This window comes from Homo sapiens, chromosome 4, assembly GCF_000001405.40.
Source record: "Homo sapiens chromosome 4, GRCh38.p14 Primary Assembly".
In the NCBI taxonomy this organism is placed as follows: Eukaryota; Metazoa; Chordata; class Mammalia; order Primates; family Hominidae; genus Homo; species Homo sapiens.
This window is the reverse complement of record NC_000004.12, coordinates 26,198,045-26,211,774: the sequence shown is the minus strand read 5'-3', so window position 1 is coordinate 26,211,774 and position 13,730 is coordinate 26,198,045. Positions and strand designations below refer to the sequence as shown.

At 42.9% G+C, this 13,730-nt stretch overlaps 1 protein-coding gene and 1 long non-coding RNA gene across 3 annotated transcripts in view, besides 2 other annotated features; one reads left to right on the top strand and one right to left on the bottom strand.

Moving 5' to 3' along the window:
• Positions 1-13,646, top strand: part of LOC124900690 (uncharacterized) — a 77,297-nt gene extending 63,651 nt beyond the window's left edge. The window contains exons 3-4 of the long non-coding RNA XR_007058094.1: positions 11,118-11,229; positions 11,668-13,646. This is a non-coding gene — a long non-coding RNA (uncharacterized LOC124900690). The remainder of the gene's footprint in view (positions 1-11,117; positions 11,230-11,667) is intronic.
• The window catches only part of RBPJ (recombination signal binding protein for immunoglobulin kappa J region), a 329,683-nt gene that overhangs the window by 223,357 nt on the left and 92,596 nt on the right, over positions 1-13,730 (bottom strand). The gene's annotated exons all lie outside the window — the stretch shown is intronic.
• Positions 6,675-7,176: an enhancer, noted in NCBI's record as "H3K4me1 hESC enhancer chr4:26206221-26206722 (GRCh37/hg19 assembly coordinates)". NCBI's record gives its function as "activates a minimal SCP1, AML or CMV promoter by ChIP-STARR-seq in primed H9 embryonic stem cells {active_cell/tissue: H9 hESC(primed)}" and the evidence as "EXISTENCE:reporter gene assay evidence [ECO:0000049][PMID:30033119]".
• Positions 7,160-7,249: an enhancer, noted in NCBI's record as "active region_21391". NCBI's record gives its function as "activates an Ori minimal core promoter by ATAC-STARR-seq in GM12878 lymphoblastoid cells {active_cell/tissue: GM12878}" and the evidence as "EXISTENCE:reporter gene assay evidence [ECO:0000049][PMID:35858748]".

Sequence of the window (13,730 nt, the reverse complement as noted above, 5' to 3'; positions counted from 1 at the left end):
TCAACATATGGATTTGGAGAGGGACACAATTTAACCTATAACAGGTAGGGTATAATTATTTGATTCTTTGTTTGCTGTCTACCCGAATGGAAGGTGAGTTTCTGGAGGGCAGACATGTTGTCCCTCATGTTCCCACCGCTGTATCCACTGCACTAAGGATGGTGCTTGGTGCGAAGGCTCTCAATAAATCATACTTATGATAAATTGATGATGGTCGTGCAACTTTATGAATATATTAAAAACTACTGAATTTACAGAGGTGAATTATTTACAGAGGTGAATCTATGGTATGTGAAATACATCTCAAATATAAATGAGCAAATAATAAACAATCCCTGTAGAGATACAATGATTATTTATTGTGTAAATATCTATTTTCTCCCCAGAGAAACTCAGTTCCTCTCTAATACTTTCCAATTCCCTGGAGGTTTATGGACGACACAGTACTGTCTTTGGGGCTGTGTGGGCCTTGAGTAGAGTGATAGATCTTTAACATTTTTGAATATCTGATGAGTATTTGTCCCCAGAAAAGTGCTACTAGGCATATGTACAGAAAAGTGCTACTACACATATGTACATTGCACACATACACGTGCATATGGTACTTTCTATATAATTTCAGAGGGTTTACAGACACCTTGAGTAAGGCTATTTCCATGGATCAAAGTAACAATAATCTGGGTTGGAAAATCTCACCAATGACCCTTCTAGCTTTGAAAGTTATGGGAGTCTATACACCTGTGCTCTGCACAGCACAGGGGCTCTGTGGGAAAAATGAAATTACTTTGCTTCTGCTTACAAGAAGCTTATGGACTACTTAAGGAGAAAAATAAATCACAATACAAAACCAAGTGGAGAATGCCTAGTACTTCAGAAAAAGCTTTCATCCAGGCTCTTCGGTTGAAAGTACCCATAACTAGGCTTTTCACTGGCACACCAATAAAAGAGCCAGACACACAGGAGAAAAGAAAGAAAGAAAGAAAGAAAGAAAGAAAGAAAGAAAGAAAGAAAGAAAGAAAGAAGGAAAGAAGGAAAGAAGTAAAGAAGGAAAGAAAGAAGGAAAGAAGGAAAGAAAGAAAGAAAGAAAGGAAAGAAAGAAAGAAAGAAAGAAAAAAGAAAGAAAGCTGGCTTAAGGGTTTGAAAAGTAGTGTAATCAAGAACAAATGAGTTTTGCCATGACAAATTTAATTAAAAGCCTCATTGATATTTGAAATAAAAATGTTTTTAGTTAGCTTCCTTTTGAAAAATGATTAACGTCATATAGCTTCTTTTAAATAATACTAACAATGATTTTTGATGCGATGGGAATGGCTTTAAATTGATGCGATTGCCCTCTGCTGCTCTCTGCACCCAGGTGGGCCCCATTAGACAAGTTGTAAAGGAGCTAGTTTCTACATGTGGATAGACTTCAACCTCTTCTCCCTCCCTCAACTCACACACCAAATAGAAATTCTCCTAACTAGAGGTTTAGTGAAGAGGAGGGGATCCTGTGCGGAAAGGGAAAGAACCGGCAGTTACAATCTTCCTAAATTCAGGGAAGACTATATTCCCACTGTAGAACACTGTCAAACTCTTGGATCTGTGTTGAGAGTTATCTTTTATCCCCTAAAACGATTGTGGTTTTGTATCCCATTAAGGACACATTAGGAATTCTGAATGAAAAGCTGAAGTAGAAGAAGAAAGACTTCCTGGAAGACAGCTAGAAGCAAAATCAATCCAATAGTTGTTTAAAACTCTACAGTGGGTCCTCATATGGTTTTAGGGTGGCAAGATTGTTGGTCTTGAAAGTGTTTTCTTACCCCAGAAATGTTACCAAAAGAGCAAAACTTCCCACCCAAAATGAAAATGATATGAATGGGAAAGGAGGTGAGGGAATGGGAAAAGAAAAAGCAAGGAAGGGAGAGAGGGAAGGAGGAAGGGAGGGAGAGAGGGAAGGAGGAAGGAAGGGGGGAGAGGGAAGGAGGAAGGGAGGGAGAGAGGGAAGGAGGAAGGAAGGGGGGAGAGGGAAGGAGGAAGGGAGGGAGAGAGGGAAGGAGGAAGGGAGGGAGAGAGGGAAGGAGGAAGGGAGGGAGAGAGGGAAGGAGGAAGGGAGGGGGAGACGGAAGGAGGAAGGGAGGGAGAGAGGGAAGGAGGAAGGGAGGGAGAGAGGGAAGGAGGAAGGGAGGGAGAGAGGGAAGGAGGAAGGGAGGGAGACAGGGAAGGAGGAAGGGAGGGAGACAGGGAAGGAGGAAGGAAGGAGATAGGATGTCACTTGATTGTTTGATTGGCTTAAGAGTGTAGATTTTGATTGTTTTTTAAGCTTCATTAATTTAAACACAAAACTTTTTTCCACAACTTGACCCTGGAATGACTAAGTAATTGCTGCATTACTTACTAGGTTTGTATTTCAAATTATCATAAACACAAACCGAAAATCTTGTATTTTAGGCAAACCTGGGTATAATCCTTCACTAAGAAAGCCTTTATTGAGAAAGAAAACCAAAAGTCACCACATCAGCAAAGATCATATTTTGGAAGAAACTGCCGTGTTTTAGAGCCACCCATACCAACTTAATAGAATCAACATTTTAACTTTCAGGCATTTTGCAAGCCAGTTGACATCATGCCGGTAGCTTGAAATAGGCCATGTTGAGAGTATTTTTACTATGGTAAATGCTTTTATATATATATATATATTTTTTTTCTTCTGTAATGCTGGTTATTAAACATTTTCTAGCATACTGTCTTTATATCTGAATATTTACAGTTCTAGCTGCAACAAAACAAAGAAAAAATGAATAAGGAACAAGCACAAATACTTCTGCAGAAGCTACTGAGAATTCAACTGAAAGACTATAATTTAAGCAGTTAACAAATATTGAATATCTACTATCTTATCCCTGCCACCCTAGGTTAGGGCTAAATGGCCAATGAAGTCATATGACAGAGCTCCCAGTCACTGAGTGTCTTGTAATTTGTTTGGGGAGACAGGCTGGGCACACATGGACAATGTATGTAAGAGTACAGAGCAATGTCTATTTACATGGAATATTGTCTTGTGAAGGCTCAGTACAACAAGAGTTCAGAAAAAAAATCACAGGGTGGTCAAAATTAAGCAAGAAAATTGTGCAAATCGTGGTCTGTTAATTCAAAGGAGCAATGGATAAACTGGGTTCATCATAATAGGATATATGGCTTGTGGCAAAGGGATCTTCAGACAATTTAAAAATCCTTTCAGTTTGTCTCCCTCTTACTTAATGTCATTATCACTCTTGAAATATATTATTAGCACAGAAAGACTATTGTTCTTTGTGATAGATGGTGACATCTCTGACTGTGTGGCTATTCATGTGTTCCTGGCCAGCCTATTAATGGATCAGCCTTCTCTTCTGCACTAGAGAGAGTGCAATGCCCTTGGGCCCAGATCTGTAGCTACCATTTCAGGAGGCTGCTTAGGTTTGCATGATCTGCGTTTGAATCCAAACTTCTGCACTTTTTATCAGTGGGAACTTAGGTAAATGACTCAACCACTCTGTGCCTCAAATATCTCATCTGCAAGATGGGAAGATAGTTGTATCTATCTCATTGGGATGTTTTAAGGACTGAAATGGATTACTTCATATAGAGCATTTAGAGTAGCACCAAGCACGTAGTAAACACTATTGTAGCAAACACTGTTGCTATTATTCTGTTGCGCTTGAAGCCCAGTCCTGCCAGATCTTGTGCAAGTCACTCTTGGTCTTGAAACCCTAGTTTCCTCATCTGCAGGACTGAAAGGCTAATTGCTGCCCATCTGGCAGGGCAATTGTGAGGACCATAGGAAACAGTGTCTGTGGAAAGCTCTTGGCAAACTGGAAAGTTCTATACAGGTGTGAGCTGTCAGTGCTGCCACAACAAGTCTCTGCTCAAAATGAGCTTCTCGGTTCCTGGCCTCCTGACGGCTCATGCATTTGGTGTGTTGTTGTGGTTTCCAGAATCCCATTGCTGTGTCCAAGTGCAGAGTCATGACTTGCCTGACTTTTCTGTGATGACATATAAATATACTCAAAGCATCTCCTCTAAAAATGCAATCGTTGTTTGTAATTTACCCCCTCTCCCCAGCAGAGCATCAGCTCCCCAAGGGCAGGCATTGCTTCTCTGTTGTATTCAGGGATGTACCCCAAGTGCCTAAACGAGAGCTTGGCATAGGATAGGAGCTCAACACACGTCTGTGTCCAGAACAAATGCTCATCTTTATCCTTAGCTCACATGTTCTCCAAACTAGAAAAGTGAACTAAGACATCTCCACAGGAATGAATCAGTATAACATAGGCATCCAAAATGAACAATCGATCCATCCATCAGCTAACACCACCGTGTGTGTGTGCAATCCACTTGGCTAGGTGCTTTGCGGGGAAGACTGACGTGGAGAAGAAGGTGTGACCTCTGTTAACCCTATTTTTTTTTTAGAAACACACACACACACAAAAGACACTGTCCAACTTGACATCTCATAAATCTCATTATTATCCCACCCTGGTTCTCCATCCTAAACCCGGCTTGCTCATTGCTGACAACAGCTCCCAGAAGTGGATATAGAAAAACCATGAGGAACTGGTTTACAAAGCACCATCTGCTCACCATTTATTTGCTAAGGTTTTCCATTTCAGAATCAGACGTGAACCACAAAACCCTGTGCCTTACTCCAGGGGCTTAGTAAAACTCTGTCATTTCCATACTAAAAGGAGAGGTGGGAATGGAGAGCACTGCTTGAATCTAAACCTGGAAAAGGGGGAATTGATTTATGGAATTCTGCAGGTGGGCAGCCCTGGAGCAGAAAAGCAGACCTTAGTTACCTGTGCAACTGGAGTTCATGATTTTTCAGAACAGGTATAGAATTTGAGGGGACCTTTACTTAGGCATTTAGTACAATCCTCCTTTAAAAAACTACCAGAATTCAGAAAAAAAAAGACCAAAAAAGTGTTTTCTTGGCTGTATTTCTTGTAGTGACTGCGAAAACCCGTGAAGGAGGAAAACTGGCCAGGATTTTTTTTTTTTTTTTTTTGAGGGTATGAAAGCCTTTCGTTTTTATAGTTTTGAAAATCCTTGGAGTTTAACTTTGAACTTTAACCAAAAAAAATTATATCTTATAAACAATGGCATTTGTTGACTGGATGAAGGACTAGATCAATATTGGTCTTGGCAACCCATTTTGGCTGCTGTTGCCTGCAGAAATATGCTGGTTGTGGTGTTAAAAAATTATGTCAGTTCCTCACCATGTGTCTCTTTTTCTTGGAGTTATGCCTGAGAATTACTTTCCAAAGATACTTCCAGAAGTTAACCTAGAGCCTGGCCTCCACAGCAAAGGAAGTTACACATAAACTCTCGGAAAGCAGAGCACCACAGTGAGCTCCTGGGAGGGGGAGGAATAAATCTGGATCTATGGAGGAAGAAGATGATTTGAAGCAACTGCTAATTTCACAAGGATAGTCACAGTCCCTCTTCTTGCTAAAGTTATCACCAAGACTTGTCACACCAAGGGCGAAAAAACACTAAACAAAAATAAATCAATCTTGGCAAATGAAAACCATTGCTTTGAAAGAAAATAATCATTGTAGCCATGATGGAACTGTGTACATTAGAATGTTCGAAATCTTTTCATTTTGGGGAGAAGTGGGAGGCAGTAGTGGCAGTTGGGATTTTCTAGAAGAGAGGTAGTAAAGCTTTTAGTGTTTTCACGTAGACTACCATATTATCCACTTATTTTAGGTATAAGACTATATGCCACATGTTCATCTATGTGTAATTTATAAAAAAAATACGCATATATCATATTTACTCAACTCAACAGACTGAATGGATTACTTATTCTTTGTAACTTGAGTTTCATTTAGAAGTTTTTTTTTTCTTAAAAAATTTTTTTAGGCTGGGTGTGGCGGCTCATGTCTGTAATCCCAGCATTTTGGGAGGATGAAGTGAGCAGATCACTTGAGGTCAGGAGTTTGAAACCAGCCTGGCCAACATGGTGAAACCCTGTCTCTACTAAAAATACAAAAATTAGCCAGGAGTGGTAGTGCATGCCTATAATCCCAGCTACTCAGGAGGCTGAGGCAGGAGAATTGCTTTAACCTGGGAGGTGGAGGTTACAGTGAGCTGAGACTGTACCGCTGCACTCCAGCCTGGGCAATAGAGTAAGACTCTATCTCCAAAAACAAAACAAAAAAAATTTTTTTTAGATGGTGTCTCTCTATGTTGCCCAGGCTGGTCTGGAATCCCCACCTGCCAAGTAGCTAGGATTACAGGCTCATGCCATGCCGCCCAGCTCCCATTTGAAAGTTTGACAACTGCAGCAATGTAGGACTGTGCGGTGGGGCAAGGAGAGGGCAATAAGAAAAGCTAAAAAGGAATCCCACATAGTCAACCCAGGAGCCTGACTCCAGAATTGCAGCTGCTAATCCAGCCTCATGGGCCCTCCATGGTCTGTGTTGGGTTCTTCTACACTGTGCAGAGGGTGAGGCAATGTCCTATACTCCACACTGGCAGCTGGCAGTGAAAGATGGCACAGGGCCGGAGCTGCTCCCACATCTCTTCTCCTTGCTAAAGATAAGTGCACACCTGCCACTGCTTGAGAAAGACAGCCAAGAGCTGTCACTGCATGCCTGTTCTGAGAACCTGTTGGCTGGCCCTCTTCCTGTGCTCCTGGTGGCCAGCGGGAGCCCTGGGCCCTTAACTGAGCCCCTCCCCCATCCTGCAGTCGTAACTCTGCTCCCAGAGGCAGCTCCTTCCAGCCACGTGGCCCCTGGCGCCGAGGCCAGGACCTTGGCACATCCCTTTGGAAAGGTGGCCAACTCCACACTTGCCAGATTCTCACAGTTTTCTGACCGGTGTCTCCAGTGAAATGAGTGCAGGGGGTGAGACTATATTTAGCCCAACTCAGAAAGAATGCTCCAGGGCACACACTAACAGTAATAAAACAAGGCTACTGTTAACCTTTATTGAGCACTTACTGTCTACCATGCTTTATGCTAAGCACTTTGTATGCTGTATTTTACTGAACCCTCATAACCATTTTACGAGAGCAGTGCTATGTTCATGCTAAGAAAACTGAGGCCAGACATCTCATAGCTGGTGGTGTTGGGATTCCCCTCGTGTGTCCCACTGCTGAGCTGTGTCACTTCCAACTTGGACACAACAGTGAGCTTCACCCAGGTCATCTCATCTCAATGTGCTACCCCTCTGCATGGCCACATCTACCAGGCTACCCACGAGTAGTCCCATCCCCAGCGGATGGCTAGAAGGGCCACCCACGCTCATAAGCACATTGTGTAACTGCACAGATGCTTGGGCTGCATAGACCCGTCCCCAAGGACCAGTAAGGCGCCTTCCTCTGCAAATCATTTCCTGAACTCTGACAGCCTTTACTGAGCAGACTCAGTATGTCCTGTCTTCAAAGGCGACACCTCTTTCATTGGTGTGGGGACAACTTCCTCTGCTAGATTCAGCATTTTTTGAGTGCAAAAACTATGTACTCTATTTCTTTCACATTAAAGAAAAAAAATCACTGACTTCAGCCAGGCATGGTGGCTCACACCTGTAATCCCAGTGTTTTGGGAGGCCAAGGCGGAAGGATCACTTGAGCCCAGGAGTTTAAGACCAGCTTAGGCAACATGGTGAGACCCCCCCATCCCTACAAAAAATACAAAAATTAGTCAGGCATGGTGGCACGCACCTGTGGTCCCAGCTACTCGGGAGGCTGAGGCGGGAGGATAGCTTGAGCCTGGGAGGTTGAAGCTGCAGTGAGCTGTGATCACACCACTACACTCCAGCCCCGTGGGAGAGTGAGACCCTGGTCACTTGATCATCTGGCTTCATTTTAAGGCCCAGTGAGTTTAAACAACATAGCTGAGACCATGCAGCAGGACAGAGGTAGCATCAGGACCAGAACCTCAGGTTCCTAACTGTCAGGCACAATAAATTCTGGTCCGGTTGATCTGATGGATGTACTCAGGTAGAGTGAGGCAATGAAGCAATTACTTAAAGGCCAACCTCCGTGGCCCCATTGCTGCTGATCACCTCCTCACTTTGTTGAGATGAAAGCATGTTGGGGGTATGGTGGGTCTGCTGGCAGCTAATGCCTTTATGTGGTGGACCCCACAGGTAGCAGCAGTGGCCAATCATTCTTTCACTCAACAGAGCCTTTGGTCTGAGCCAGTTCCTGTTTAGGAGTGGAGGACAGAGCCATGAACACAATAGAGAGAAGTCCCTTCTCTCACCGAGCTTACTTGTTAGGGGAGGAAGACAGACAGCACAGAGATAAATAAATTTATGACAGATCATGCTAAAGGCCATGAAGAAGAATAAAGCTGGCAAAGGGACAGAGAGATAGGGGTATGGAGACCCTACTGTATGTGGGGTGGTCAGGGAAGGGCCTGGGGAGAAGGTTGCATTTGAATAAAGATGAGGAAGGTGAGGAAATGAGCCATGTGGGCATGTGGCAAAGACTGTTCCGGAAAGAGAGAGCCATGCCATGTAGATATTGTGCAGATCCTTGTGCAGTGCTTTAATTTTATTCTCACAGTAATGAAAAACTATTAGGTAATTTTGAGCATAGAAATTTGATTTTTGATTTAAAATGATCATTCTGGCTACTATGTAAAGACTAGACTAAGGGGATAAGACTGGACCTCAAACAGATAGACCCTTTTTAGCCAAAATATGCTGGTGACTTGGACTAGATAGGGTTGACCCAGCGGTGGAGGTGAGAAATTATTTTTCTTTTCTTTTCTTTCTTCTCTTTTCTTTTCTTTTTTCCTTCCTTCCTTCCTTCCTTCCTTCCTTCCTTCCTTATTTCCTTCCTTCCTTTCTTCCTTCCTTTCTCTCTTTCTCTCTTTTTCTTTTTTTTTTGACAGTCTGGTTCTGTTGCCCAGGCTGGAGTGCAGTGGTACGGTGGTGTGATCTCAGCTCACTGCAACCTCCACCTCCTGGGTTCAAGCGATTCTCCTGTCTCAGGCTCCCAAATAGCTGGGATTACAGGGGCGTGTCACCATGCCCAGCTAGTTTTTGTATGTTTTTGTAAAGATGGGATTTTGCCATGTTGTCCAGGCTGGTCTTGAACTACTGCCCTCAAGAGATCTGTCCCCTTTGGCCCCCCCAAAGTGCTGGGATTACAGGTATGAGCCACCGTGCCCAGCTGAGAAATTATATTTCTAAAAAGAGACAACCAGATTTGCTGTGGATTGAATGTGGGATTTTTAAAAAGAGAGAATTGATAGTCAAGAATGACTCTGAGGTTTTTAGCCTAAGCAAACAGTGCCAATGAAATCGTCATTTATTGAGATAGGAAAGAGTGAGGATGAAGCTGGGCTGGGGGGAAGGAAAGATCAGGTTTTAGATATGTTGAAATTTGAGTTGTCTATTGGACATGTAAGTGGAGGTGTCAAGTAGGCAGCCTATTGCCACTGTTTGCTTAGGCTAAAAACCCTGGAGTCATTCTTGACTAGCAATTCCCTCTTTTTAAAAATCCCACATTCAATCCACAGCAAATCTGGTTGTCTTTTTTTAGAAATACAATTTGGAACTGGAGATTCCTTTGGAAATGATCATTGTAGGTTGATGACATTTAGAGCTGTGGACCAGATGAGCTCCTCTAGAGAATGAGTGAAGGTAAAGAAGAGGGCTAAAAGTGGAGGCCTGGGATATGCCAACTTTAAAATGAGAGAAGACAAGGAGGAATCAGCAAAGTGCTGAGAAGAAGCAGCCAGAAAAAGGGAAGGACAAGCCAGAGAATGGGAAAGAAAGTTTTTTGGGGAAAAGGGAGAAATCAACCATGTTCGGTGCTGCTGATGGTTGGAGTAAGATGAAGACTGAAAAGTTAGCATTGAATTTTGTAACAGGTAGCTCGTGGGTATCATTGAAATGATGGATGGAGGGCCAGGGCCCTCCCTGCAAATTTCTGATCTGTGTATAAGTCTTGAGTTTCTTGTGTGACTCAGGGGGCAAGAATAAACCAAGAGAAACTTCTGGGATTTGGCAACTCTTGGCTCTTTTGAGTGGAGGGCATGAAGTAGGTGTAACTTGGTTTAGAACGTTAGAAAAATATAGCCTGTTTGCACTGCAGGGTATGACAGAACAGTCTACCTAACTCTCAGTGTAAATGCATTGAGATTTACATCAGTGTACCTTTTGCTTCCAGGGATTGTGAATTGCAGGTCATGTGTGTTGAGGGTGAAAATGAGAGGTAGAGGTAAAAGTGGGAGAACGGTGGGGGTTTTGCAATGAAGCTGTGGAGTGAAAAATGGAAAATGAGGATAAAGTCCACCTGGTCCTTGGAGTCACACTGATACCATCTTGAGGAGGGAAATTGTGGCACCTGTAAAGGGAGGTCCATGACATGTTTTTGACAAAGAGTCACTGTAATAGAGCTAAAGCTCTTTATGCTTGAGTACCACAGAGGGAGTTATGAAATACCGACTCAGCTATGTCACCCAGTTAAGTAAAAGTTACACCATCCTTTTTCCGTCTCCAACATCCTAATTATACCACAAGTTTGGGACCACAATTAAAACCAGGAGGACAGATCCCAGAGGCAAAAACCAGTCAACAAGCCTGAGTCACAAAATTAGAAAAGCATCAAACATTTGGAAAGAAACCCATTTGTGGAGGGGAGCTTTATAGTATGTGCATTATTGGTGACAAAGCGGAACAAATTTCCAAACCTTTTTTGGGAAATTACAGAGTAGAGAGACCCCAAAGATTATCTTAAGAGTAAGAGATGGTGAATGGATACTCATTCATTCATGCATTCATTCATTCAATTTGGTTTTGGAACAGCATCCATATGCCAGGCATGGGGGTATATCAGAGAACAAGGTGGATGTGATCCCTGCACTCACACTATCTACAATCTAGGTAGTGTCAGGTAAACAAGTAATTTACAGCTTGATGTGATAAATAACATGAAAGGGGTGAAATACAGGAACTAGATAGCCAGAGACAAGAAGCACCTAATCACAGTAAGGGGTCAAGGAGGCTCCTGAGATGAAACAATGTCTAATCTGAGACCTGAAGTTGAGGAGATTTGTGGGCACCTATTACACGGGAGGATAGTACAGTGGGCATTGGATCTGATTGCTTGGGTTTTTTTTTCTTTTTTTTTTCAGATAGAAAGTTTCGCTTTGGAGTGCAGTGATGCAGTCACGGCTGACTGCAGCCATAACCTCATGGGCTCAAGTGATCCTCCCACCTCAGCCTCCCAAGTAGCTGGGACCACAGGTATGCACCACCATTCCCAGCTAATTTCTTCTTATTTTTTGTAGACACAGGGTATCCCTATGTTACCTAGGCTGGTCACAAACTCCTGGGCTCAGGTGACCCTTCCACTTCAGGCTCCCAAAGTTCTGAGATAACAGGCATGGGCCACCGTATCTGGCCATGATTGCTTGGGTTTAAATCTGGGCTCTGCCACCAGTTGTGGACCTTGGTGAAGTTAGTCATCTTTCTATACCTCAATAACCTCCTGGATTAATAATACCACTATTTCAAGGAGTTGTTATGATAGAGTAAAATGCCAACAATATCTTCTAAAATTAAAGTTTTGTGTCATAACTGTGACTGTAAAAATAAGGACGAAGGACTTTGCTAACTTCACTCAAAGTCCTATTTTCTCTACAACGATTTAAGTTCCTCATTGGCAAACACACCTCCCACCAGGTCTGCAGACTCTGCCCTTGAGGTGGCGAAGAGAGGCCAGAGGTGAACGTGAGAATGAGAACTGGCAGAACTCAACGTGGAAACGTTGCTGGAGCGAAGATGGCACCGGCCTCCATCATCAACTGCAGGATTGAATCACATGGCACAGCTCCCCAAGAAGCATTTACAGAAGAAACGAGCCATAGCATCACCTCGACTGAACGGTTCTGGCCAGGATTTCTGTGCATGTGTTTTAAGAATTTTAAAAATTGAGAAATAATTCACATACCATAAAATTCACTCTTTAAAAGTGTACAATTCAGTGGTTTTTAGTGCATTTCCAAGTTTGTGCAACCAACATCACTGTCTGATTCCAGGACATTTTCAACACCCCCAAAAAGAAACCACTTGCCAGGTTTTTGAAAGGGGCAAATCTGTGCCAGAGTTGCTGTTGGAGAAATAGTCTCTGTGATAAAGAAACTTAAAATTTCCGCTTCAGATCTGAACGGTAAAGCTCATTTCCAGGGATTTTCTTCCTCTCCCCTCCCCAGCCACTCCAGGCTCAATCTAGACTTTTAGTTTCTACTGACCTCGAAGAATTGCCCCACAGAGGCGTTGTCCTGTGTTCCAACACTGTTTTGTGTTTCTGACATGTGTGTGTATTTTCTCGTCCTCCTGTTAGTGAATACTTGTTATCTCGCAGTTAACTTGTTCTCTTATCAACCTTTTCTTTCCTCACTGTCTCTAATCCCCGCAAGCTCCACCTCCCGGGTTCAAGTGCCTCAGCCTCCCAAGTAGCTGGGACTACAGGCGCACACCACCATGCCCAGCTAATTTTTTGTATTTTAGTAGAGATGGGGTTTCACCATGTTGGCCAGGATGGTCTCGATCTCCTGACCTCATGATCCGCTCCTCTCAGCCTCCCAAAGTGCTGAGATTATAGGCATGAGCCACCGTGTCCGGCCAAGGGCAGGAATTCTTAATCACTTCTCTCAGATGACTTCCCACAGCTGGCTTCCTGCATTTCTCCTTGCTAGGAATTTTATAGGAATGAGGAGTTTAATGGGTGCAGAGTTTTAGTTGGGGAAGAAGAAAAAGTCCCGGAGATTAATGGTGGTGATGGTTGCATCGCAATGTAAATGAATGTACTTCATGCCACAGAACGGTACACTTAAAAATGGTTAAAAGGGTAAATTTTATGTTGTGTATATTTTAGAGCAATAACAAAACAATAATTTTACAGGCTGTGGTTATGATCCTGCAAGCTGTGAGACTTAGCAAAAAGTGAGTTTCTTCTTCTGTGAAACAGGAAGAACCATTCATTCAACAAATACTTCTCAAGCATCCCTTATAAGAAGACAAGATGGTATTATGGTTAAAAACTCAAACTCTAGAGGCTGGTGGCCTGGATTTGAATCTTGATTCTGTGGCTCTCTCACTGTTGGGAAATGGGCAAGCCAAACTTTTCTCTGTGCCTTAGTTTTCTCATCTGGAAAATGGAGATAGTAGTTCCTCTGTCATTAGGATTGTTGTGAGAAATAATTGAGTTAATATATTCAAATAGAACAGGGTCTGGCACAAGATAAATGCTACCTGTTATCATTATTATTATTACTATTTGCTTGAGTTAATGTATAAAATATGTAAACAGTATGCAGCATAAAATAAGTGCTACCTATAATTATTATTGCTATTTTGTGCCAGGCACCATTCTAGAAGGTGGAGATACAGCAATGAACCCTTGACTTCCTGGAGCTTACCATTTAGAGGGGAAAATAGACAATAAATAAGGAAATGTATAGTATGGCAGGTAGTAGTTAATATCTGCCTCATAGTATTTTTTGTTTTTTTGTTTTTTTGTTTTTTTGTTTTTTGAGATGGAGTTTCGCTCTTGTTGCCCAAGCTGGAGTGCAATGGCGCGATCTCAGCTCACCGCAACCTCCGCCTCCCAGGTTCAAGCAATTCTCCGGCCTCAGCCTCCCGAGTAGCTGGGATTACAGGCATGTACCACCACGCCCGGCTAATTTTGTATTTTTAGTAGAGACGGGGTTCCTCCATGTTGAGGCTGGTCTCGAACTCCTGAC